Below are 24,984 nucleotides of genomic sequence, written 5' to 3'. Positions count from 1 at the left end.
ACTTTACAGTGGCTTTTATCCAGTCCACCATGCTGGGTGGCTCTCAGGAATAGCCTCCTGCATGTCTGGATCACATATAGCTATCTACGATTGTTCAACAGTGAGCTGTGGTTCTTGCATCAACTCAAACATGTTCTTTCACCCTGCAGCATTTAAAACCAAAGATACTGCTCCTAAATTTGTTACTCTCAGAATTCATTTTAGTAAAAGCTGCTCAGCAAGCTCATGATACCATCTACAAAATTAAACATTTCCTTTACACCATCCTTTAGTTTCAATAATTTCTTGGGTTTCTCCCACATTGACTACCTTCTTGGCAACCACAGGTCTCAGAGGTACATTCTGTTGTCCCTGCACAATTTTTACCATGGAGGTCAGTTTTCAGGCTAGTGGCTGAAGCTCAGGCTTACTGAAATCTAGTCTTATTCCAGCATCAAGGTCCAACTCAGCACTCTCTTTTTCCTCCTCCTCTTCCTCCTCCTTTTCTTCTTCCTCTTCCTCTTCCTCTTCTTCTTCTTCTTCTTCTATTTTTTTTGGAGACAGGGTTTTGCTCTGTCACCCAGGCTGTAGTGCAATGGTGCAATCACAGCTCACTGGAGCTTTGAACTCCTGGGCTCAAGTGATCCTCCCACCTGAGCCTCTCAAGTGGCTGGGACCACAGGTGTGTGCCACCATGCCTGGCTAATTTTTGTATTTTCTGTAGATACGAGGTTTCGCCTTGTTGCCCAGGCTGGTTTCGAACTCCTGGGCTCAAGCAATCCACCCACCTTGGCCTCCCAAAGTGCTGGGATTACAGATGTGAGCCACCATGCCCAGGCTTTTCACTTCGTTTTAGCTATTACAGATATTAATAACCAAGGGATTGAATATTTTGCTTTTTTTCTTATTAGTTTGCACTTCCTTATGTGTCCAGTGAACCAACTCCCTGGGAGTTGGATCCATCTCTAAATTCCACTGGTAACTTTTTAGCTGCAGTTTCATACCATGGGTGACTGACTAGGTAGCTATCCAGGGATGGAAGGTTTCTTATCCCCCACCCTTTCATCCTTTCTCTTCCTAAACCAAATGTTTCTGTGAACCAGGGCCTTTCTAGCAAATCCCTCTTCACTGACACCAAATGAATAGGAAAAAAACTAAACTCAGTTTCTCCCACCGTACTCTCACAGCACACTTCTGATGCCAGATTTGTGGGGATTTCTCCCGCCAGCAAGCAAGAATTCAATTTTGCAGTGGACACCAGCTGGGTGTCCTCTAATTCAATTCCATTCTGACAGTATCTACCTGGAGCTAGCATCAGATCATACAGGTTGAGGACGCAATCCCACAAAACTGAGTCCCCGGGTTATTTTACCTGTGCTTCTCATCAACTGGCTATAAATCGGGGTTCCCACAGTTTCCGCTCCTTGGGTTTGATTAATTTGCTAGAGCGGCTCACAGAACTCACAAAAACATTTACTTACGTTTACCAGTTTATTACAAAGGATATTTTAAAAGACACAAATAAACAGCCAGATGAAGAGATACATAAGGTAAGGTCTGGAAGGGTCCCAATTGCAGGAGTTTCTGTCCCTTTGGAGTTGGAGTGCCCCCAAGTGTTCGTCTATCTGCAAGTTCTCTGAACCCTGTCCTTTTTGGGTTTTTATAGAAGCTTTATGACATAGGCATGATTGATTAAACCGCTAGCCATTGGCATCAATTTAACCTTTAGCCCCTGCCCCTTCCCTGAGGGCTGGGGGATGAGACTAAAAGTTCCAACCCTCTGAGCACCTGGGTAGTTTCCCTGGCAACCAACGCCCCCATCCTATGGTATCCAAAGGCTTTCCAAAAACTGTCTCATTCACGTAAGTCCAGGTGTGTTTGAAGGGCTTGCTGTAAATAACAAAAAAGTGTCTTTCATTTTTAAGTTCAGGTGCTACTTCAGCAACCAAAGACAAAAGACCAAATACAATACTTTAACAAAAGATATTCTTATCACTCTAATTACTTGGGAAACAATAAGGCTTTCAGAAGGTGAAAGCCAGGAATCACGAACAAAACCAAATATATACATCACAGTAACACAATAATATTCCTGGTTATTTTCTCAAATCTGTGGCATCTGTAGTCATTCTTGATATTGGTAATGTGTGTCTTCTCTCTTTTCCCTGATCATTTTTCCTGATCATGCTGCCAAAGAGTTTATCAATTTTAATAATCTTCTAGAGGAACCAACTCTTAATGTCATTGATTTTTCTCTATTATTTTTTCTTTATTCAATGAATTCTGATCTTATTTTTATAATTTCCTTTCTTCTGTTTACTGTGGATCTTATTTGCTCTTCTTTTTCTGGTTTATTATGTCAGAAGCTGAGGTCATTGATTTGACTGGTTGCTTTTGTTATTTCAGTTAGGATAATGTTTTCAGGTTCCTCCATGTTGTAGCATGTATCGGTACCTCATTCCTTTTTATTGCCAAGTAGTATTCCATTAAGTGGATATATAACATATTATTCATTTATCAGTTAATAAACATTAGGGTTGTTTCCACTTTTTGGCTATTAAAAATAATGCTAAGTTGAGTTTGGTGGAACATGCCTGTAATCTTGGCTACTTGGGAGGTGGAGGTGGGAGGATCTCTTGAGTCCGGGGGTTCGAGATCAGCCTGGGCAACATAGTGAGATCCTGTCTCTTAAAGAAAGAAAAAAATAATAAAAGTAATGCTTCTATAAACATTTGTATGCAAGTATATATATACATATATACACATACACACATACGTATATACACACATACATACATATATATGCATGTGTATATATATACACACATACATACATATATATGCATGTGTATATATATACACACATACATACATATGCATGTATATATATACACACTCATAATATATATATATGCATGTGTATAAATATACACACACATACATATATACACGTGTATATATATACACACACAAACATATATATACACATACATATGTGTATATATACATACGTATGTTTTCAATTCTCTTGGGTATTGCTGGGTCTTATGGTGACTTTTTACTTAGGATTTGAGGACTTGCCAGTCTGTTTTCCAAAGCATCTTATCTTAGTCTTTTTGGGCTGCTATAACAAAATATTATAAACTAGGTAGTTTATTGTATTAGACCATTCTTGCATTGCTATAAAGAAATACCTGAGGCTGGATAATTTTTAAAGAAAAAAGGTTTAATGGCTCACGGTTCTGCAGACTTTACAGGAAGCATGGTGCTGGCATCTGCTCAGCTTCTGGGGAGGTCTCAGGAAGCTTACAATCATGGTGGAAGGTGAAGAGGGAGCAGACATTTCATATGGCGAGAGTGGAAGCAAGGAAGAGAGAGGAGGGGAGGTGCTACACACTCTTAAATAACCAAATCTCATGAAAACTCACTCGTTATTATCAGGACAGCACCACGGGGATGGTGCTAAACCATTCCTGAGAAATCTGCCCCCATGATTCAATCACTTCCCTCCAGGCCCCACCTCCAACAATGGGGATTACATTTCAATACGAGATTTGGAGGGACAAATACCCAAACTAAATCACTTATAAACAAAGAATTTATTTCTCATAGCCCTAGGTGCTGGGAAGTCCAAGATCAAGTTGCCAGCAGATTTGGGTCTGATGAAGTTTCACTTTCTGGTTTATAGATGATTATCTTCTATCTGTCCTCACGTGGTGGAAGGGGGAAGACAGCTCTCTGGAGCTTCTTTTATAGGGGCACAAATCCCATTCATGAGGGCTCCACCCTTAGGATCTAATCACCTCCCAAAGACCCCCCTCCTAATAGCATCATCACCTTTGGGATTAGGTTTTCAACATATAAATTTTGGGGGGACACAAACATTCATATCATAGCACAACTATACCATTTTACATTCTCACCAGCAGTATATGAATGTTCCAATTTCTCCACACCCTTGCCATTGCTGGTTTTTAATCTCTCTTTGGATTATCGTCATTCTAGTGGGCATGAAGTGGTAATTCATGTGGTGTTTGTTTTTGTTTTTTTGAGACAGAGTCTCACTCTGTCACCCAGGCTGGAGTGCAGTGGCACAATTTTGGCTCACTGCAACTTCCGCCTCCTGAGTTCAAGTGATTCTCGTGCCTCAGCCTCCTGAGTAGCTGGGATTACAGGCACACGCCACCACGCCTGGCTAATTTTTAAAATATTTTTAGTACAGACGGGGTTTTGCCATGTTGGCCAGGCTGGTCTCAAACTCCTGACCTCAGGTGATTTGCCCACCTCGGCCTTCCAAAATGTTGGGATTACAGGCGTGAGCCACCACTCCCAGCCTCATGTGGTTTTTATTGCATTTCCTTGATGACTGTTGATGTTGAGCATCTTTTCATGTGCATATTGGTCATTGTATATTTTCTTTAGAGAAATGTCTATTAATATATTTTGCCCACTTTTAAATGAGGTCATTTATCTTTTTATTATTGAGTTGTGTTTTCTCTATAATACAGATATCAGGTACAGAACGGTCCCCGACTTAAAATGGTTCAACTTATGATTTTTTGATTTTACAATTATGGAAAATCAATACATGTTCAGTAGAATACAATCATTCTGTTTTTTACTTTCAGTGCAGTATTCCATAAATTACATGAGATATTCAACACTTTATTATAAAATAGGCTTTGTGTGTTAGATGATTTTGTCCAACTATAGGCTAACGTAAGTGTTCTGAGCATGTTTAAGGTGGACAAGGCTAAGCTACGATGTTCAGTAGGTTAGGTGAATTAAATGCATTTCCAACTTATGATATTTTTGACTTTTAATGGATGTATTGAGATGTAACCTTATTGCAAGTCAAGGAGCATCTGTATACAATTTGCAAAAAATTCCTATTCTGTGTTGCTTCTTCACGTCCATGATGGTGTCCTTTTAATTTTGATGACAACCAATCTATCTATTTTTTTCCTTTTATTACTTAGGCTTTTTGCTATCACATTTAAGGGACCATTGCCTAATCCATGGTCACAAAGGTTTTTTGTGACCTTGTTTGTTTGAGACAGGGTCTATCTCTGTTACCCAGGCTGGAGTGTAGAGGCACTATCATAGTTCACTGCAGCCTCAAATTCCTGGGCTCAAGTGATCCTCCTACTTCAGCCTCCTGAGTAGCTAGGACCGTGGGTGAGTGCCACCACACCCAGCTATTTTTTTTTTTTTTTTTTTTTTTTTTTTTTTTTTTTTTTTTAGAAATGAGGTCTCACTATGTTGCCCAGGCTAGTCTTGAACTCCTGGCCTCAAGTGATTCTCCCGCCTTGGCCTCCCAAAGAGCTGGGATTATAGACGTGTAATTACATCATGATCAGCCATGGTCACAAAGTTTCATGCCTATGTTTTCTTCTAAGAGTTTTAGCTCTTTAATCTTTGATCCATTTTGAGCCAATTTTTGTATATGGTGTGAAGGAAATAAAAATATTTTACCCAAAAATTATATTTCTTTGGCATAATTTGAAGTGGCTGCCACGGACTGAAATGGCCTTGCAAAGCAGTCTTTTGTGTGAGAAATTTATATCTGTAGAGAATCCCCATTAACAGGCCTTCCCTTTGTAGGCTTTTCTTGGATGTAGGAGCGATTAACTGAGGGTCTGACACCTTTAAAGGTTCTTCCTTTCTTCCTTTCTTCCTTCCTTCCTTCCTTCTTTCTTTCCTTTTTTTTTTTTTTGGCAAGGTCTCACTCCATCGTTCAGGTTGGAGTGCATCAGCGTGATCTTGTCTCACTGCAGCCTTGACTTCCCTGGCTCAGGTGGTTCTCCTACCTCAGCTTCCCGAGTAGCTGGAACTACAGACGTGCACCACTACGCCCAGTTAATTTTTTGTATTTTTTGTAGAGACAAGGTCTCACTATATTGCCCAGGCTGGTCCTGAACTCCTGGGCTCAAGCAATCTGCCCGTTTCAGCCTCCCAAAATGCTGGGATTACAGGCATGAGCCACCACACCTGGCCTAAAGGTCTTAAAAGAGACATTCACCATCTATTCTCTCTGAGGACTACTGTGAGGTTTCATTTACATAACAAGATTCCCTTTGCTAGCCAGGCCTCTTCCTTTCTCCTTTTCATAACCTGTTTTGCCAGTAAAATCTGTTTTTGGCCATGCTCTGAGCCTGCATTCTTTCTGGAATCTGAAGATGGTATATAAATTTCTGAACCTCATTGGGAGGTTAGGTCTTCATTCTGAAGGCTCCTGTATATACACATTAAATAAATGTGTATGCCTCTTCTCCTTTTAGTTAATCTGCCTCATGTCAGTGATTTTTTTTTTCAGTGAGCTTTTAGGGGACCAAGGGCCTTGGCCTCCACAGGTGTGAGATAGAGGTCTAACTTCATTGTTTTGCATGTGGATATCCAGTTGTCCCAGCACCATTTGTTGAAAAGAATATTCTTTGCCATTGAATTGTTTTGGCCTCCTTGTCCAAAATCAGTTGACCAGAAACGTGAGTGTTTATTTTTGGATTTTTAGTTCTATTCCATATCTACCCTTATGCCAATATTGTTACAGTAGGCAGTCAGGTAGACATGAGCAGGAGACCGCCCCCCTCCCCCATAACCAGGAATTTCAGGTGACCATCAAGGTGATGGTCAGGGAGTTGTTAAACTGTCTCTCTAAAATAATAATTAGTTGCAGCCAGTGCCAGGGAAAAGCAATCTCCCAATAGACAGAAAATACCTGAAACTGGTGATCAGCAGCTTCCCAATAAGCTCTCAGGAGTTGGATGAGCGGGCTCAAGCATGCACACTAAGAGGCAAAATGGCAGAGTTTAACTGGTATATGACCTTCCTCTAGGACCACTGGACTGGTAAGGAAAAAATGCCTCAAGTGAGCATGCATACAACTTCAGTAAACACATACGGCCCCTCCCAAGTGCTGGCAGGCCACTGCACATGTGGACAGCCCACTCCAAGGGAAGAATCAGGGGAGAAGGGATGCAACACCCTGCCCTACCCCAGAAGCATGCCAACATATAAAGCCCCAAGTCAAAGGCCAAACAGTGCACTTTAATTTCTCAAGTCACCTGCTTGGCCTCCTTCCAAGTGTACTTTACTTTCTTTCATTCCTGCTCTAAAACTTTTTAATAAACTTTAACTCCTGCTCTAAAACTTGCTTCAGTCTCTCACTCTGCCTTATGCCCCTTGGTCAAATTCTTGCTTCTGAGGAGGCAAGAACTGAGGTTGCTGCAGACCCATACAGATTCGCCACTGCTAACAGTACCACACTCTCCTGATTATTGTTTCTTCATAATAAGTTTTGATAACAAAAAGTGTGAATCCTTTGACTGTGTTCACCTTTTTAAAGATGGTTTTGGTTATTCTAGTTCCCTTTCAACTTCATATGAATTTTATAATCATTTTGACAATTTCTACCAAAAAATGCAGTTAAATTTTTGAAAGAGATTGCATTGAAATAATAGATCAGTTTGGGGAGTATTTCCATTTCAACAGCATTAAATCTTCTGTTCCATGAACATGGAATGTCTTTCCATTTATTTAGGTCTTCTTTAATTTTTTTTTCAATAATATTCTGTAGTTTTCAGTGTATGGTCTTGCAATTATTTTGTTAAATTTACTCCTAAGTATTTTTAATGCTATTGTAAATTGAATTGTTTCTTTGATTTAATTTTGGGGTTGTTTATTGTTAGTATATAGAAATAACACTTCATTTTGGTATGTTGACCTTTTATCCTACAAACTTTCTGAAGTTATTTGTAAGCTCTAATAGTTTTTTAGTGGCGTCCTTAGGACTTTCTATTTATAAGAGCATGCTATTTGCAATTAGAAGTCATTTTGATTCTTCTTTTCCAATCTAGATAGCTTTTATTTCTTTTTTCTTGCCTAATTGCTCTGTCTGGAACTCCCAGTCAGTTTTGTTTGTTGGTCTCATAGAGTTACCATCCTCTTTTTAGTTGTTTACTAGCAAAATCTATAGTTTTTTAGAGTTCTCTTAAGTTTGAACTCTCTCACACTGTTTCAAATAAAGTTGATTCCTTTGAAGATAACTTTAGAGTTTTATCTTCCTATGCACTGCCTCACTCCCTGGGCAAAATCTCTGATCTATCTGCTCCAAACACTGGGTGGGGGTAGTAGCCTCTGCTTTTCTCAACTGAAACCACCTCTTTAGAGTGACCTGGGGCAAAGGCTGTTAGTGCTCTAGTATTCTCAGCCTGTTAGGCCTGGGGTAAGGCTTCCACTTTACGAATGGGGGTTGTGTGGAGGAAGGCAGCTCCTGAGCCCTCAGATACCCTCACAAGGAATTTAGTCTCTGCAATTTGGATTTGGGTGGGATAAGAAATGCTGGTGTCCTGTCTCTTCCAGTGAGATACTGTATCTCTAGATTGAGAGCTGAAGGGAGAGGGAGACTGATATTTTTAATCACATCCTCCTAGAGTGGAGCTTCCATCTAGCTGAGCTGGGAGAGTGGGTCATGGCTTAAATGCCACAGACTGTCACTGCTTTTACTGAGATTTAGTAGATTTCCTTGAACACATGTTTATTTATTATGTGTCCTTAGGACATCTTCTGTAAACTTTAAATGTTTTATTTTCTAAGAAAATATTTTTAGGCCAGGCGTGGTGGCTCAACGCCTGCAATCCCAGCACTTTGGGAAGCCAAGGCGGGTGGATCACGAGGTCAGGAGATCAAGACCATCCTGGCTAACACGGCGAAACCCCGTCTCTACTAAAAATACAAAAAATTAGCCAGGCATGATGGTGGGCACCTGTAGTCCTAGCTACTTGGGAGGCTGAGGCAGGAGAATGGCATGAACCTGGGAGGCGGAGCTTGCAGTGAGCCGAGATCACGCCATTGCACTCCAGCCTGGGCGACAGAGCGAGACTCTGTTAAAAAAAAAAAAAAGAAAGAAGAAAAAAAAAGAGGCCGGGCGCGGTGGCTCACGCTTGTAATCCCAGCACTTTGGGAGGCCGAGGCGGGCGGATCACGAGGTCAGGAGATCGAGACCATCCTGGCTAACATGGTGAAACCCCGTCTCTACTAAAAATACAAAAAAATTTAGCTGGGCGTGGTGGCAGGCGCCTGTAGTCCCAGCTACTCGGGAGGCTGAGGCAGGAGAATGGCGTGAACCCGGGAGGCGGAGCTTGCAGTGAGCTGAGATTGCGCCACTGCACTCCCGCCTGGGCCACAGAGCAAGACTCCGTCTCAAAAAAAAAAAAAAAAAAAAAAGAAAGAAAATACTTTTTACTAGTTTCACTGGTGAACAGGTCCACAGAGCTCTTTGCATTGCCATCCTGCAAGCAGAATTCCCTGAGTGGTCCATCTTTTTACTTTAACCTATCTGTGTCTTTATATTCAAATTGGGTTTCTTCTAGGCAGCATATACTGTAGTTGAATTTTGCTCTTTAAACCCATCTGGCAATCTTTGTCTATTAATGGGGGCATTTAGAACCTTTACATTTAATGTGATTATTGATATATTTTGATTTACATATTCCATTTTGTTATTTGTTTTCTATTTGTCCCATCTGCTCTTTGTTCCTATTATCTTCTTTTTATTCTTTGTTTTGGATTAATGTAGTATTTTTATAATTCTATTTTATCTCCATTGCTGATTTGTTGGCTTATTTGCTGTACTTTTATGTTTGAGTAGTTGATTCAGGGTTTATACTATACATTTACAATTTATCACTCTTAAGTAATAGTATACCACTTCAAATAGAGTATAAGAAATTTATAAGTGTATAATTTTATTTCACTTCTTCCAGGTTTTTGCCTTCGTTGGAATACATTTTACTTTTACTTATGTTATAAACTCCACAATATATTATTTTTTTGCCTCAAAATGTTAATTAAATTAAATTAATTTAAAATTTATTTTAAAAATAAGAAAATGGGTGTTTTATATTTACACACATATTCATCATTTCTGGTATATATATATATATATATATATATAGAGAGAGAGAGAGAGAGAGAGAGAGAGAGAGACAGAGAGAGAGAGAGAGACAGAGAGAGAGAGAGACAGAGAGAGAGAGAGACAGAGAGAGACGGAGTCTCTCTCCATTGCCCAGGCTGGAGTGCAGTGGCATGATCTCAGCTCACTGCAACCTCTACCTCCAGGGTTCAGGCAATCCTCCTGCCTCGGCCTCCCAAGTAGCTGCACCACCACCCCCAGCTAATTTTTGTATTCTTTAGTAGAGACAGGGTTTCACCATGTTGGCCAGGCTGGTCTTGAATGCCTGACCTCAAGCAATCTGCCTGCATCGGCCTCCCAAAGTGCTGGGATTACAGGCATGAGCCACCATGCCCAGCCTCATTTCTGGCACTTTTTATTTCTTTTTGCATGCCCTAATTTCCATCTGATACAATATCATTTTCACTCTAGCTGACAGACTTTTTAAATCATTTTTTTAATGGTGCAGTTTTGCTGATAAATTCTTTTAGCTTTATAACGCTAAAAAAGTCACCATTTTGTCTTCATTATTGAAAATTATTTTATCTCTGTTTTCAATTTTAGTTTGACAATTCCTTTCTTTCACTACATTAGTGATGTTGCTCCACTGTTTTCTGGTTTCTGTTGTTTCTGAAGAGACATGTGCTGTCATTTTAATTTTTGTTCTACTTTATATAATGAGGTTTTTAAAAATCTGGCTGCTTTTAAGATTTCCTCTTTTTTACTGCTTTCAAACATTTTGATTATAATGTGACTTGGTGTGTTTTTCTTTTCTTTTTAAATTAGAGATAGGATCTCACTCTGCCATCTAGCTGGAGTGCAATGGCACTATCATCGCTCACTTCAGCTTTGAACTTCTGGGCTAAAGGGATCCTCCTGCCTCAGTCTTCCAAGTGGCTAGGAGTATAGGCGTGTTCCACCGTGCCCAGATAATTTTTTTATTTTTTATAGAGATGGGGTCTTGCTATGTTGCCCAAGCTGGTCTTGAATTCCTGGCCTCAAGCAATCCTCCCACCTTGGCCTCCCAAATTACTGGGATTACAGGCATGAGCCACCATGTCCAACAGGTGCTTTACTTTGTTTCTTGTGCTTGGGATTCATTGAGCTTCTTGGACATGTGAGTTTATGCTTTGCCTCAAATTTGGAAAAATTTCAGCTATTATTTCCAGAAATATTTTTTGTGTCCACCTCTCTTCAGCAATTCCAATAATATGTATGTTAGGCTGCTGGAAGTTGTCCTACAGTTCATCACATCATTACGTCATTCAATTTCTATCAGCTTTTGTTCCACTTTGTAAATTTCATTTAGAATACTTAAAATTTTTCATTATGTCTTCCAGTTCACTAAGCTTTTCTTCTGTGATGTCTAATCTGCTGTTAATCTTATCCAGTGCATTTTTCATTTCAGACCATGTATTTTCCATCCCTAAAAGTCCAATTTGGTCCTTTTTTATAATTTTGTGTCTCTTCTTAACATGCTAACTCATTCCTTTATCTTCTTCAATACATAGAATACATCTATGTATTGTACAACAATATAATGTACAACAATATAATAGCTGTTTTAATGTCCTTGTCAGTTAACTTTACCACCTGTGCTAGTTCTGTGTCTGTTTCTATTGATTGATTTTTCTCCTTGTTATTGGCTGTATTTTCCTCCTTGTGTGTATGCCTAATAATTTTTTATTGAATGCCAGACATTGTGACATTTACCTTGTTGGGTTTTGGGCATGGTAGCTTGCACCTGTAATCCTAGTGCTTTAGGAGGTTGAGGTGGGAGGATTGCTTGAGACTAGGAGTTTGAGACTAGACTTGACAATATAGTGAGATCCTGTCTCTAAAAAGAATTTTTTTTTTTTAATTAGCTGGGCATGGTGGGATATGCCTGTAGTCCTGGAGTGCAATGGCATGACCATAGCTCACTTCAGCTTTGAACTTCTGGGCTAAAGGGATCCTCCTTTAGCCTTCACCAAATGGCCTCCTTGGGAGGATAAGGTGGGAAGACCACTTGAGCCAAAGCAGAGCCCAAGGAGCTCAAGGTTACAGTGAGCTATGCATGTGCCACTGCACTCCAGCCTGAGTGACAGAATGAGATCCTGTCTCCAAAAAAAATCTTTTTAAATAATAATCATTCATTTACATGATTTTGGGCTTTGTCCTCAGATGCAGTTAAACTACTTAGAAACAGTTTAATCCTTCTGAGCCTTGCTTTCAAGCATTGTTAGATGGAACAAGAGCAGTATTTAGTGACAATTTGCCTCACTATGAGGTGATATGGTTTGGATGTTTGTTCCCTTCAAATCGCATGTTGAAACGTGATTCCCAGTGTTGGAAGTGGGACCTGGTGGGAGGTGGTTGAATCATGGGGGAAGATTCCTCATGAATGGTTTATCCCCTTGGTGATAAGTGAGTTCTTGCTCAGTTAGTTCACACAAGAGCTGGTTGCCGAAAAGTGTGTGGCACCTTCTCCCTCTCTCTTGCTCCCATTCTCACCATATGACATGCTGGCTACCTGTTGCCTTCTGCCATGATTGTAAGCTTCCTGAGGCCTCACCAGAAGCAGATGCCAGCACCATACTTCCTGTACAGTTGGCATAACCATGAGCCAGTTAAACCTCTTTTCTGTGTAAATCACTCAGCCTCAGATGTTTCTTTATAGCAATGTAAGTATGGCTTTACGCAGAAAATTGGTACCAAAGAGTGGGGCATTGTTAGAAAGATACCCGAAGATGTGAAAATGACTCTGGAACTGGGTAACAGGCACAGGTTGGAAGAGTTTGGATGGCTTAGAAGAAGACAGGAAGATGAAGGAAAGCTTGGAACTTCTTAAAGACTTGTTAAGTAGTCATGTCCAAAATGCTGACAGAAATATGGACAGGTCAGGCACAGTGGCTCATACCTATAATCCTAGCACGTTAGGAGGCTGAGGTGGGAGGACTGCTTGAGGTCAGGAGTTCAAGAGCAGCCTGGACAACATAGCAAGACCCTGTCTCAAAAAAAGAAAGAAAGAAAGAAAAAGAAAGAAAGAAAGAGAAAGAAAAGAAAGAAAGAGAAAGAAAAGAAAGAAAGAAATGTAGACAGTGAAGGCCAGGTTGAAGAGGTCTCAGTTGGAAATGAAGGATGTTATTGGGAACTGGAGTAAAGGTCACCTGCGTTATGCCCTAGCAAAGAGCTTGGCTGCATGGTGTCCATGTCCTAGGTATCTGTGGAAGGTTGAACTTAAGAGTGATGACTTAGGGTATCTGGCAGAAGAAATTTCTTTCTTTCTTTTTTTTTTTTTGAGACAGAATCTTGCTCTGTCGCCAGGCTGGAGTGCAGTGGCGTGATCTTGGCTCACTGCAACCTCCGCCTCCTGGGTTCAAGTGATTCTCCTGCCTCAGCCTCCCAAGTAGCTGGGACTACAGGTGCTGGCAGAAGAAATTTCTAAGCAGTAAAGCATTCAAAAATCAGCCTAGCTGCTTCTAGCAATGTGTGATCAGATATGGGAGCAAAGGAATGAGTTAAAGTTGGAACTTATATTTAAAAGGGAAGCAGAGTGTAAAAGTTTGGAAAATTTGCAGCCTAGCCATGTGGCAGACAAAGAAAAAGTTTTCTCAGTAGAGGACTATAAGAGGGCTGTGGAGTAACCATTTGCTAGAGAGACTTGGCATGACAAAAGGGGAGCCAAGTATTAATATCTAAGGCTATGGGAAAAAGACCTTGAAGGCATTTCAGAGATCTTTGTGGCAGCCTATCCCATCACAGATCCAGAGGCCTAGAAGGAAAGGGTTTGGGGGGCCAGGTCCAGGGCCCTGCTGCCCTATGCAGCCTTGGGATACTACTACCTGCATCCCTGCTGCTCCAGCTCTAGATCCAGCTGTGTCTCAAGGGGCTCCCAGTGCAGCTTGTGTTGCTGCTTCAAAGGGTGCAAGCCATAAGCCTTGGTGGTTTCTATATAATGTTAAGTCTGTAGGTGCATGGAATGTGAGAGTAAGGAAGCTTGGCAGCTTCTCTCTAGATTTTAAAGGATATATGAGAAAGCCTGGGGCAGAGCCCTCACAGAGAACCTCTGCTAGGTCAGTGCAGAGGGGAAATGTGAGTTTAGAGCCCCCCACATAAGAGGCGCCCCCACATAGAGTCTCCACTGGGCCACTGCCTAGTGGAGCTGTGAGAATGGGTAACTGTCATCCAGACCCCAGAATGGCACAGCCATGGGCAGCTTGTACCCTGAGCCTGGAAAAGTTGCAGGCACTCAACTTCGACCTGTGACAGCAGCCACAGGGGCTGTATCCTGCAAAGCTATAGGGGCAGGGCTGCCCATAGCCTTGGAAGCCCACCCCTCACACCAGTGTGCCTGGATGCAGGACATAGAGTCAAAGATTATGTTGGAGATTTAAGGGTTAATAACTGCCCTGCTGGGTTTTGGACTTGCTTGGGGCCTACTGCCCCTTTATTTTAATTTAATTTAATTTTTTTAGGCAGGATCTTACTCTGTTGCCCAGGCTGAAGTATAGTGGCACAATCATGGCTCACTGCAGCCTCAAACTCCTGGGCTCAAGCGATTCTCCTGCCTCAGCCTCCTGAGTAGCTGGGACTACAGGCATCTACTACCATGCCCAGCCCCTGTTGCCCTTTTCTTTTGGTTGATTTCTCCCTTTTGGAATGGGAATGTTTACCCAATGCCCGTACCACCATTGTATCTTGGAGGTAAATAACTTGATTTTACAGGTTTATAGGTGGAAGGAGTTGAGTCTCAGATGAGACTTGAGACGTGATTTAATGCTGAAACAAGTTAAGAGTTTAGGAAATTATTGCAAAGGCATAATTGTATTTTGAAGTGTGAGAAAGACATGAGATTTGGGGGGCCAGGGGCAGAATAATATGGTTTGGATGTTTGTGCCCTCCAAATCTCATGACGACATGTGATTCACAATGTTGGAAGTGGAGCCTGATGGGAGGTGGTTAGATCATGGGGTGGATCCCTCATGAATGGTTTAGCAACATTCCCTTGGTGATAAGTGAGTTCTTGTTCAGCTAGTTCCCAAGATATCTGGTCATTTAAAAGTGTGTGGCACCTCCCCCCTCTCTCTCTTGCTCCCACTCTCACCATGTGACATGCTGGCTCCCCGTTGCCTTCTGCCATGATTGAAAGCTTTCCTGAGGCGTCACCAGAAACTGATGCCATCACAATGTTTCCTGTGAAGCCTGCAGAACTGTGAGCCAATTAAACCTCTTTTCCCCAGCCTCAGGTATTTCTTTACAGCAATACAAGAATGGCTTAACACATGAGGTAGTATCTTTTTGAGTACTCTACCCAGAAGCCTGCATGTTATGAAGTTTTTCCCACTCTGGCAGGTGAGGAGATAAACTATTTCCATCCCTTTGTGAGTTCTGGGGTTGTTCCACCCACTCCTTTTCCGCGACTGTTTTTCCAGGCTTGGGTAGTTTCCTCACACACTTATGCTGATCAAAATTCAGCTGAAGACTCAACGGGACCCTTGGCAGATTTCCAGAACTCTCTCTCTCTGTCTCTGCAGCTCTCTCCTCTCCATGCAGCTCTCTTTCTCAGGACCTCTGCTCTGTGAATTCTAGCTGTCTTGGCCTCCGAGAATAATCAGCTCTGTTTCCTCAACTCTGGGAGAATGCTGGCCTCTGTTTGGGTTCCCTTTCCCTGCACTGATGTCTGGAAACTCTCCAGGCAGTAAATTGGGAACAATTTTAGTACTTACCTCATTTCCCCCCTTCTCTCATGTATCAATGCCTGCACTGCCTGTTGTACCATATCCTAAAACTGCTTCTTCCAATTTTTTTAGTTATTTAGAGTGGGAAGATAAATTTAGACCCCATTACTTTATCATGGAGTAGCAAGCCAGAAGTGATTCCTAGGTAAGTCTTGAATTAGGCTTGGAATGCTGTGTTCAGAGGGTTGGCAATCTTTCTCATATGACATGTATGTGTGTGACCTGTGATGAAGAGGTTGAAGGAAACTCCCCACGTTCTGTCAGTGTAAAAATTTAACAGCTGTTGCTATCATGACAGTTACCATTTATGATGATGAGGATGTATCGTGTGTAAAGTACACGACATGAGGTCATCATTTAAAGAGCACCTGCTACTAGAGGCAGAATAGAATGTTGTTTTAGGACAGGACACCTAGCATCAGAAAGCGCAGTGTGTAAATCCAGGCTTTGGTGGGATCCTGGACAAGCTGTCTAACCCCTTTGTATCTAGGTCTCCTTATTCACTGGTCTATTAATAGAAGCAGGGGTGAATGTGGGCTGTTGCAGCCACTCGAAGCGGAGAGTGCCAGGAAGGAGGTCATGATGGGTCAGCTGGGCCCAGGGGTAGAAAGTCCCTAGAACAGATGCCATCAGCATGCCCTGCCCAGCGGTGCAGAAAGAGATGGGTGTTGCTCAGGTCAGCTTTGGACATGATCCTGTAGGTAGCTGGGATGTCCCTTGAAGACAGAACCCATAGGATGGATTCTCCCAGCTCCCAGGACATGCACAGGGAGGAGTGACTCACTGAGACTGAGAGTACTTCAAATGTCTAGTCTTTCTTCAGCATGTTGTGAGGATCGAATTTCTTTCAGGGGTCTTTGCTCAGCTTTGGCTACCTTTATGACCTTTATGACAGTGGCTACCACTGTCACTGATATTGCTATGGAATAAGGCACAGCCAGGCATATGGGCAGGAGCTCTGGGGCCAGACTAGACCTGGGCATAAGTACTAGCTTTTATCCTCTGGCCCTGGTAAGCTTAAGTCAGCTGATGAACAGTGCCTCAGTTTACTCATCTGTAAAACAGTGATTAATAATAATAACAACCACCCAGGGATGTTATCAGTATTAAAGGAGTTAACTGACCATTAAAATAGAGCATCTCTGGAAAAAATAATGACAAAAGCAGCCGGGTGCAGTGGCTCATGCCTGTAATCTCGGCATTTTGGGAGGCTGAGGCTGGCAAATCACTTGAAGTCAAGAGTTCAAGGCCAGCCTGGCCAACATGGTGAAACCCTGTCTCTACTAAAAATACAAAAATTAGCTGGGTGTGGTGGCAGACGCCTGTGGTTCCAACTACTCAGGGTGGGGGTGGGGGGTGCTGAAGCAGGAGAATCGCTTGAACCCAGGAGGCAGAGGTTGCAGTGAGCCGAGATCACGCCACTGCAGTCCAGCTTGAACAATAGAGGGAGACTCCGAAAGACAAAAACAATAGTACTGGCTAATGTTTATCTCACATTTATTCTGTGCCAGGTCTTGAGAGAACTCGTGTGTGTGTGTGTGTGTGTGTGTGTGTGTATATATTTTAACCAAGGACTCACTTCACAGCCAATATAACTCTTACTGGGATCACCTTATTTACTCTTCACTACAATCTATGGGGATTGACTCTGTTTCACAGTGGAGAAGACTGAGACACACAGAAGGCAAGGGAATGATCCCCAGTCACACAGCTAATAAGAGGAGGAGAAGCTGGGATCTGCACCAGCTCCAATTTCTCTGTTTGTATTCACTCCAGAGGCTGATTGGCAGGGAACATTTAGCATACTCATTGCGCTGATCTTCCTTACATTGAGATGAGCTGGGTTCTCTTATGCACATTGTCTAGCCCCTCGGGCATGTAACTTTGATAACCCTATTCCTGGACACCCTCCAGATACCCTCACACAAAACTCCTCTGTGGTGTAGGGATTGCTTTCATCACATGACTTTGCTTTATAGTTACTCAAATAATACTCGAATATGGGCCTGGTGTAAAAGACTCCATTAGGCTGGGCACAGTGGCTCATACCTGTAATCCCAGAACTTTGGGAGGCCAAGGTGGGAGGATCACTTGAGCTCAGGAGTTAAGACCAGCTTGGGCAACATAGTGAGACCCTGTCTCTACAAAAAACTAAAAAATGGCCAGGTGTGGTGGCACACGCCTGTAGCCCCAGCTACTTGGGAGGCTGTGGTGGGAGGATCCCTAGAGCCCAGGAGATTGAGGCTGCAGTGAGCTGTGATCACACCACTGCACTCAGCCTGGGTGACACAGTGAGAGCCTGTCTCAAAAAAAGAAGAATAAAAGACTCCATTAGTACATCAGTACACGGACTACATAGGCCATCCCCTTCCTCCACATTCTCTCCCTTCCCAGCTTACCACTGGGGTGAGGATCTGGGTGTTTGCTTGTTTTCTTCAAATACATTTCTCTGTGTTTAAACACACACACACACACACACACACACACCCCAGGTCCCACTATGAACTTTTCCACATTCCCCCATTAAGAGCGTGTCCTGAAGAAGATTCCTTTGACCAGTATAGTCTGGTCCCCTCATTCTGTTCCGTGGCCAGTGACTGCTCCCTGATATAATACAAGTCTCTCATTGTTCATTTACCATCCAGTGATCACTGACTATGAATGGACATTTAGAGGTTTTCCCTGATTGTTTGCTACTATCTTCCTTGTATACTAAGCTCTGTGCTATGTGTATGTTTCTTCATTATACATTCTTTTAAGTGGAATTGCTAGGGAAAAAGAGTTCAGCCATTCAACAACCATGCAGTGAGTGCCTGCTGTGTGGTGGGCACTGGAGAGACTGAGGAAACTGGATAGGAAAATGCCCCTGCCCTCATGGATGTAACATTCTAAGGGCTTACATATAAGGATTTTTCATTTTGATAGATGCTGCTCTGATGTTATTCATCAGTGGTGCAGGAGAAGAAAAGTTTGTTGACTGGCATAGTCACACCACTCATGGGGCAGGAGCTCTGTGGCAGTGGACTCGATGCTTAGACCTTTGCTCCCTTTAAGATCTTCAGGGTCTGGTGATAAGACTTTATCTGGGTGTGTTGTTGGGGAGAGAGGGAGAAAAAGATGGGGAAGGGCTGGTCTACTAGTAATACAGTGGAGGAAGGTGGGAATAAAAGTCTACTTAGCTGTGTGGAAGAGTGGCTGGGCACAGTTAGAAATGCAGTCTTGGCCGAGTGCAGTGGCTCATGCCTGTAATCCCAGCACTTTGGGAGGCTGAGGCGGGCGGATCACCTGAGGTCAGGAGTTCTAGACCAGCCTGGCCAACATGGTAAAACCCCGTCCCTACTAAAAATACTAAAAATACAAAAATTAGCCGGGTGTGGTGGTGTGCGCCTGTAGTCTCAGCTACTCCGGAGGCTGGGGCATGAGAATCACTTGACCTGGGAGGTGGAGGTTGCAGTGAGCCGAGTTCGGCCACTGCACTGCAGCCTGGGCAACAGAGCGAGACTCCATCTCAAAAGCAAAAACAGAAAGAAAGAAGAAGAAGAAAAAAAAGAAATGAAAGTCTTGGGCCCCTCCCCAGACCCACTGAATCAGAAACTCTGAAAGGTGAGGCCCAGCAATCTGTGTTTTAACAAGCTCTCTAGGTGATTCTTGATGCACACTAAAGTTTGAGAACCATTAGAGTAATCCACAGGACCTAAGTATGAAATAGCTGGCCCCTCTTGGATCTCACCTCCTGTGAGTGTGCAGCTGGGGATGAGGCGTGGAGGATGTAACATACCATTGCGGGTACCGGAAATGAACACACCATTATGCGAGATACCATAGGGGAAGGGAGCTTCTATTTTGTAAGAATACAAATGCTGTGTGTGGAGGGACAATAAAGCCCACCCCCGCCCACCAACGAAATCAGCCCCACCTTTCGACAGTAGGGCGGGCGCGGCGGCGAGCGCCCCAGGCGGCAATCCGTCCTCCTGGTTTCCACCCAGGCCCAAGCTGACACCCATTCTCCGACTTCTCGGAGACCCCTCTAGTCCCATTTTTGGCCACGCCCGTCTCCGTTCTACAGATCTGAATAAATTAGGAACCTGCAAAGGGGCAGTCGATCGGTTGTGGGACGATCAAGGCAGGAAGGCATCAAGGACCGCTCTGGGAAGCTCACCTAGAGAGTGCGGCTCTTACAGAGTACAGCGGGATGCACTCGTAGAGCCGGGTCCCTGGGTCTTCGCGCTCGCGCACGGTCAGGCACAGTGGCTGATGGGCGGAAGTTCGTAAAGCGGAGCCTGGGCTTTAAGGACTGGATGACCAGTGGGATCCAGTCTTCAAGACTTGGACTGTTGTTCAGTATGAGGCTAAAGATGCTTCCCAAGTCACAGGCAGGGCTTAAGTGAGACCACTCGCAAGGGGTCATCTGGCGCTCAGTGCGCAGGGCTCTAAGTTTTAGGTCATCACAGATCTGACTTGCAGTGTCCCAAGCACTTCTTTCTTATGTGCCATCTCATTTAATCCCCACTAGCACCTTTGGAAGAAAGCCCTGTCACCTCTGTCGCTGATGAGGACACTGGAGCGCCAAGAAGGCAGATCCCTGGCTGGGGCCCTCCAACCAGGGTGGGGCAGAGCTGGGGCCAGATGACAATTCCCGGAGGACCGCAGTTGGGACACTCCCAGCGCTCATGCTGCCCCTGTCCCTCCCAGGGTCCCTTCTCTGTCCTCACAGACCCAGCTGGGCAGTGTCCTCCCATCTCCTGAGGTGACACTCACCCCAGCGCCTCCTTCAGGAATCCCACCCCGCCCCCTCCAGCCCTAGGCGAATTGCCCTGGACTCTCAGTCTGGGTCTGGAGTTTCATCTGGATCTGGGAGACATTTCCAGTTCTGCCCTAACAGGGATGTTGTGACAGAAACCTGTGTGGGGGCAGGAGAGATATCTGTCCTGCAAAATGGTCTGCACTTTCAGGAAGTGCAGGGAGGGTCCTGAGGGGGTCCTCTGAGGTAGGCCTAGGTGCCGGGTGAGAGGACCGAAGTGGGCGTGAGAGGGTATAACTGAGGCCCCATGACTAGGGCTGGGGTAGGGAGGTAGAGGTCCGTGGTGGAAGGGGAGCCCTGGTGGCTCACAAGGGTGGGGAGCTGGGGAGAGAGAGGAGGTGTGGCAGCTGCCAATTGGAGAGGAAGTTTGGGAGAAAGGACCAGAATGCTCAGAAGGGCCATAATGGGGGTTGCCATTGGCAGTGTGAAGGGAGGACCTCTACTCTCTCTCCAAGATCCAGTTCCCCACAGTGGGTGCTGAGAGATGGCAAAGATAACGGGGTCTAGGGGTCTCCTACTGTGTTCTGGGATTTACCCTGAAGCCCCCATGGGGCAAGATACAAAAGTCACCAGGACCAAAGGTGATCAGGGTTGGTCAGACGATGGCCATTCCTGGGAGCCAGATATGAGAGCTTACTCTCTGATCCCCTCAGTCCCAGAGGGTCCTTCCCCATCCCTGGTGTGAACCTGCCTTCCTCATGACAACAACGGTGGTGACTGCAGACTGTGGGGAACTACAAGATCCAAGGCCTCCCCATAACAGTGTTGGATGGCACAGAGATTCAGCATCACACAGCAGCCCTGAGCTGATTCTTTGTGGGTATGTGTACCAGGGTGTAGCTGGTAAGCTCTTTGTGGGTTGGTGTGTGAGGTCCTTGAGTTATTGTGAGCTGTTACCTTGAGGTAGGAATTCTCTGAGCTGGTTGGGGGTCTGTGTCCTGAGGTGTGGCATCTTTGAGCTGTTTGGTGGTTGGTGTCTAGGGTGAGAGGTCTCTGAACTGCTTGTGGGCACTGTCCTAAGGCATGAGATCTTTGAACATTTTTGTGGGAGGTCTTTGTCCAGAAGGTTAGGTCTCCGAGCTGCTCATATATCAGGATATTTTTGTGAGGAAGGCAGGATGGTCCTTTCTCTCACAGGGGTAGAACAAGGTGCCCTGGTATCAGAGAGATGAAAACATAGGATCCTTATCCTTAGGGAGGGCAAGTCCTCAGTGTAGCATGTAGGAGCCAGTGGTACAAATACTAATGACAATGTCTGCAGACATTAACCCCATCCTTGCTCAGGGCCGACCCCTGTGACAAACCCATGTAACCCATGTTAACTCAATCTGCCAAATTGCCAATGAGGAGCTCACCATTTGCAGATGAGGAGGCTGAAGCCAAGTGAGGGTAGGGCCTGTGCTCACACAGTCCTCATGAAGAGGGAGGAACTGGCTGTAACTTGGACTCACTGGAGGAGACAGGGAAAGGCTCAGGCACAGCCGGGGTCAATGGGAGATGACAAGGAAAGGGGAAAGGAAGAGGTTTGCCCAGGGCCTCAAGGGCCCCATCACTGACTCACTGGTGGGAGGTCTGCCTCTCTGTCTCTCTGTCGCACACCCTGCTTGGTAATGGATGTTGAGAATGCAATCCTCACGTTACCTGTGGAAGTGGTGGCATGAGGTAAAGAGTGGGGAAATACCACAGATTCATCCATTGGCATGAGGTCCACCAGCAAATGTAGAGATTCCTACCTCTTCTTCCCCCTTGAAAGAATTTTTTTCAGGCCAGGCATGGTGGCTCACGCCTGTAATCCCAGCACTTTTGGGAGGCCGAGGCAGGCAGATGGCTTGAGCCCAGGAGTTCAAAACCAGCTTGGGCAACATGGCAAAACCCTGTCTTTACAAAACATATAAAAAAAAATCAGGCCGGGCATGGTGGCTCATGCCTGTAATCCCAGCACTTTGAGAGGCCAAGGCAGGTGGATCACTTGAGGCTAGGAGTTTGAGACCAGCCTGTCCAACCTGGCGAAACCCTGTCTCTACTAAAAATACAAAAATTAGCCGGGCATGGTGGTGCATGCCTGTAATCCCAGCTACTCGGGAGGCTGAGGCATGAGAATCGCTTGAGCCCAGGAGGTGGAGGTTGCAGTGAGCCGAGATCACACCACTGCACTCAGCCTCGGTGACAGAGGGAAACTCTGTCTCAAAGAAACCAAAACCAAAACAAAAAAATCAGCTGGGCATGGTGGCGTGCACCTATAGTCCCAGCTACTTGGGAGGCTGAGGTAGGAGGATTGCTTGAGCCCAGGAGGTTGAGGCTGCGGTGAGCCGTGATTGTGCCACTGCACTACAGCCTGGGTGACAGAGCAAGACTCTGTCTCAAAAAAAAAAAAAAAAAAAAAGAATTTTTTCAGCACTGAGAGTCAGCAGGACGGCAGTCAAGGGCTGGAGGGGGTATGGGGGATTCTGTATACAGCATGAGCCTCCCCATAACTGGAACGTGTCCTTATCCTGATGGGTAGAGGGTCCCAATGTGTGTCAAGGAAGTGGGGCGGGTCTTCCCTCATGACTGAGGCCCAGGCCAAGGGCAGGTGAGTCAGTCCCTAGACACAGTTTCTGGGGAGAGGCTTCCTTTCCTCTGCAGACACAGGCACAGCACCTAGTAGCATGCATAGGGGTCCGGAGCTGTGGATCTAATTCAGCAGGGACAGCCAGCTGCCAGAAGTAGTCTCTCTGCCCTTGTCTCTCTATTACTCTCTTTCTTTCCCTCTATCTTCTCTGTGTCTGTTACTTTCTCTCTCAGACATGGGGCTAGGTGTGACCTCACTCATGCTATCAGGGCCCTTGATCAGCTTCTTCTAAGGGTATCATCCTCTGACATGGATTTTTCTGGGGAGCAGTTGGGAGGATACCTTCTGAGTCTAAGGGATTGTCCAGGAAAGGCATATTTGGCTGCAGAGGGGCTGGAGGAGTCCCTCGGCAAAACCAGGAGCTCTTCCCTATACTTTGAGTGACCTGGGCCTCTGGCCTCTGAAAGAAGCATAGGAGCTTCTCTGCTAAAAACTTTCCCATGGCTCGCTCAGAGTAAGTCAAAGTCCTTGCCATGGCCCAGAAGGTCCTGTATAATCTGGTCCTCATTACCTTTCTGAGCTCATCTCCCACCTCTTCCAGCAACACTGGCCTCCTCACTGTGCCTCACACATGCTAGGCAGAGTTCCACCTCAACACTTTTGCACTGGTTCTTATCTCTGCCCAGAATGCTTCTCTCAGATATTCATCTCCTATTGAAATGTCAATTTCACGTTCTCAGAAAGATCTTCCTTGGCTACTCTTTCTAGATAGGATCCTCCCCTCTTCTATTTCACTACCCTGACTTTTCATTACAGCAATTACCACCACCTGACAAATTACATGCTTACATTTTTGTGCCATATGATCCCAATAGAATGTAAGCTCCACGAGGGCAGGAGTTTTTGTCTCTTTCCACACAGCTGTATTCCTAACACCTATAACAGTGCCTGGCACATACTTTGGACAGAATGAATAAATTAGCAAATGAATAAACCAATGCAAAATTCTGGTGAGAGATATAGCTAGACAGGTTGAGGATTCTGCTAGGGCACATATTCAGGTGTGACAGGATTTATTTGGCCTACTCATTCTCCTTGGGGGCCCCTGAGAGATGGCCCTTTCCCTAACAGAGCTTGAAGGTCCTGCTGTCCCTCTCACCCATTACTGACAGTCAAGGACAGACACCTGGCCCGCATCAGGCCTTCTGAGCCCAGTCAGGAGTTCCATCCCTCCTGCCCCTTGGGGGACTGTGGCTGGGTTCCCAGGCCAGCAGGCCCCCCATTAGATCTATTCTGCATTACCCAGGGAGGGACAAGTGAGCACAATGCCCAGCACGTGGTAAACGTTTGATGGTGGACGCTGCAGGAAGGTAATGGAAGTCTGCTGCTTAGGAACACTTTTCTCCTGTTCAAGATTGCAGTGAGTATACAGTCAGTTTTTGTCCTGACTTTGCCCTCTCACCCTCTGGGGACCAGCCCGGAATGGTCCATGGGTATCTGCATCCACTAGCTGTTCCTTGTTTGCACCACCAAGGGGCGCGCGGGATGGAACAGTTCTATCCTGGGATGTACCACTGAGGGGCGCAGAGGAAGGACAGTCCACTCCGCCTGTCCATTTTGGAATAATCCCTTGTGTGCGACAGCACTAAGGGTCTCTTTAAACCCACGTGTAGCATCCGCCACAGTTCCTGCCCCGTTAGGTCCGTCCCTACTCGCACCACTCGGTTCTCCCAGCCTGTTCGAGGCATCATTTTCACTTTACCTCCACCCCCTCGTTTCTACATAGTCAAATCCCGCTGGGGACCGCAAAGGGGCAAGCGATTGGCTCCAAGATGTGAAGGGCGGGGTCGAGGGCCGTCCCGGGAGGTGATTGGTTACTGCGAGAGTGCCCCGACTAAGCTTTTCCGGGGCGCGGAGTGGCTCCGGATGGACCGGCTAGCCCCTGCCTCCCTCTTCGCATCTCTGGTTCCCATTGGCCTTC

The 24,984-nt window shown here is 44.9% G+C and overlaps 1 annotated feature.

The window, feature by feature from the left end:
• Positions 4,218–4,319: a silencer, noted in NCBI's record as "fragment chrX:53045322-53045423 (GRCh37/hg19 assembly coordinates)". NCBI's record gives its function as "represses an EF-1alpha promoter that drives an FKBP-Casp9 reporter gene in an ReSE screen in phorbol 12-myristate 13-acetate-treated (for megakaryocytic differentiation) K562 erythroleukemia cells {active_cell/tissue: K562(+PMA)}" and the evidence as "EXISTENCE:reporter gene assay evidence [ECO:0000049][PMID:32094911]".

The sequence above is a fragment of the Homo sapiens genome, chromosome X, assembly GCF_000001405.40.
Source record: "Homo sapiens chromosome X, GRCh38.p14 Primary Assembly".
Taxonomy (NCBI): Eukaryota; Metazoa; Chordata; class Mammalia; order Primates; family Hominidae; genus Homo; species Homo sapiens.
Note: the sequence above shows the minus strand (reverse complement) of the source record. Positions and strands in the feature narration are given on the sequence as shown.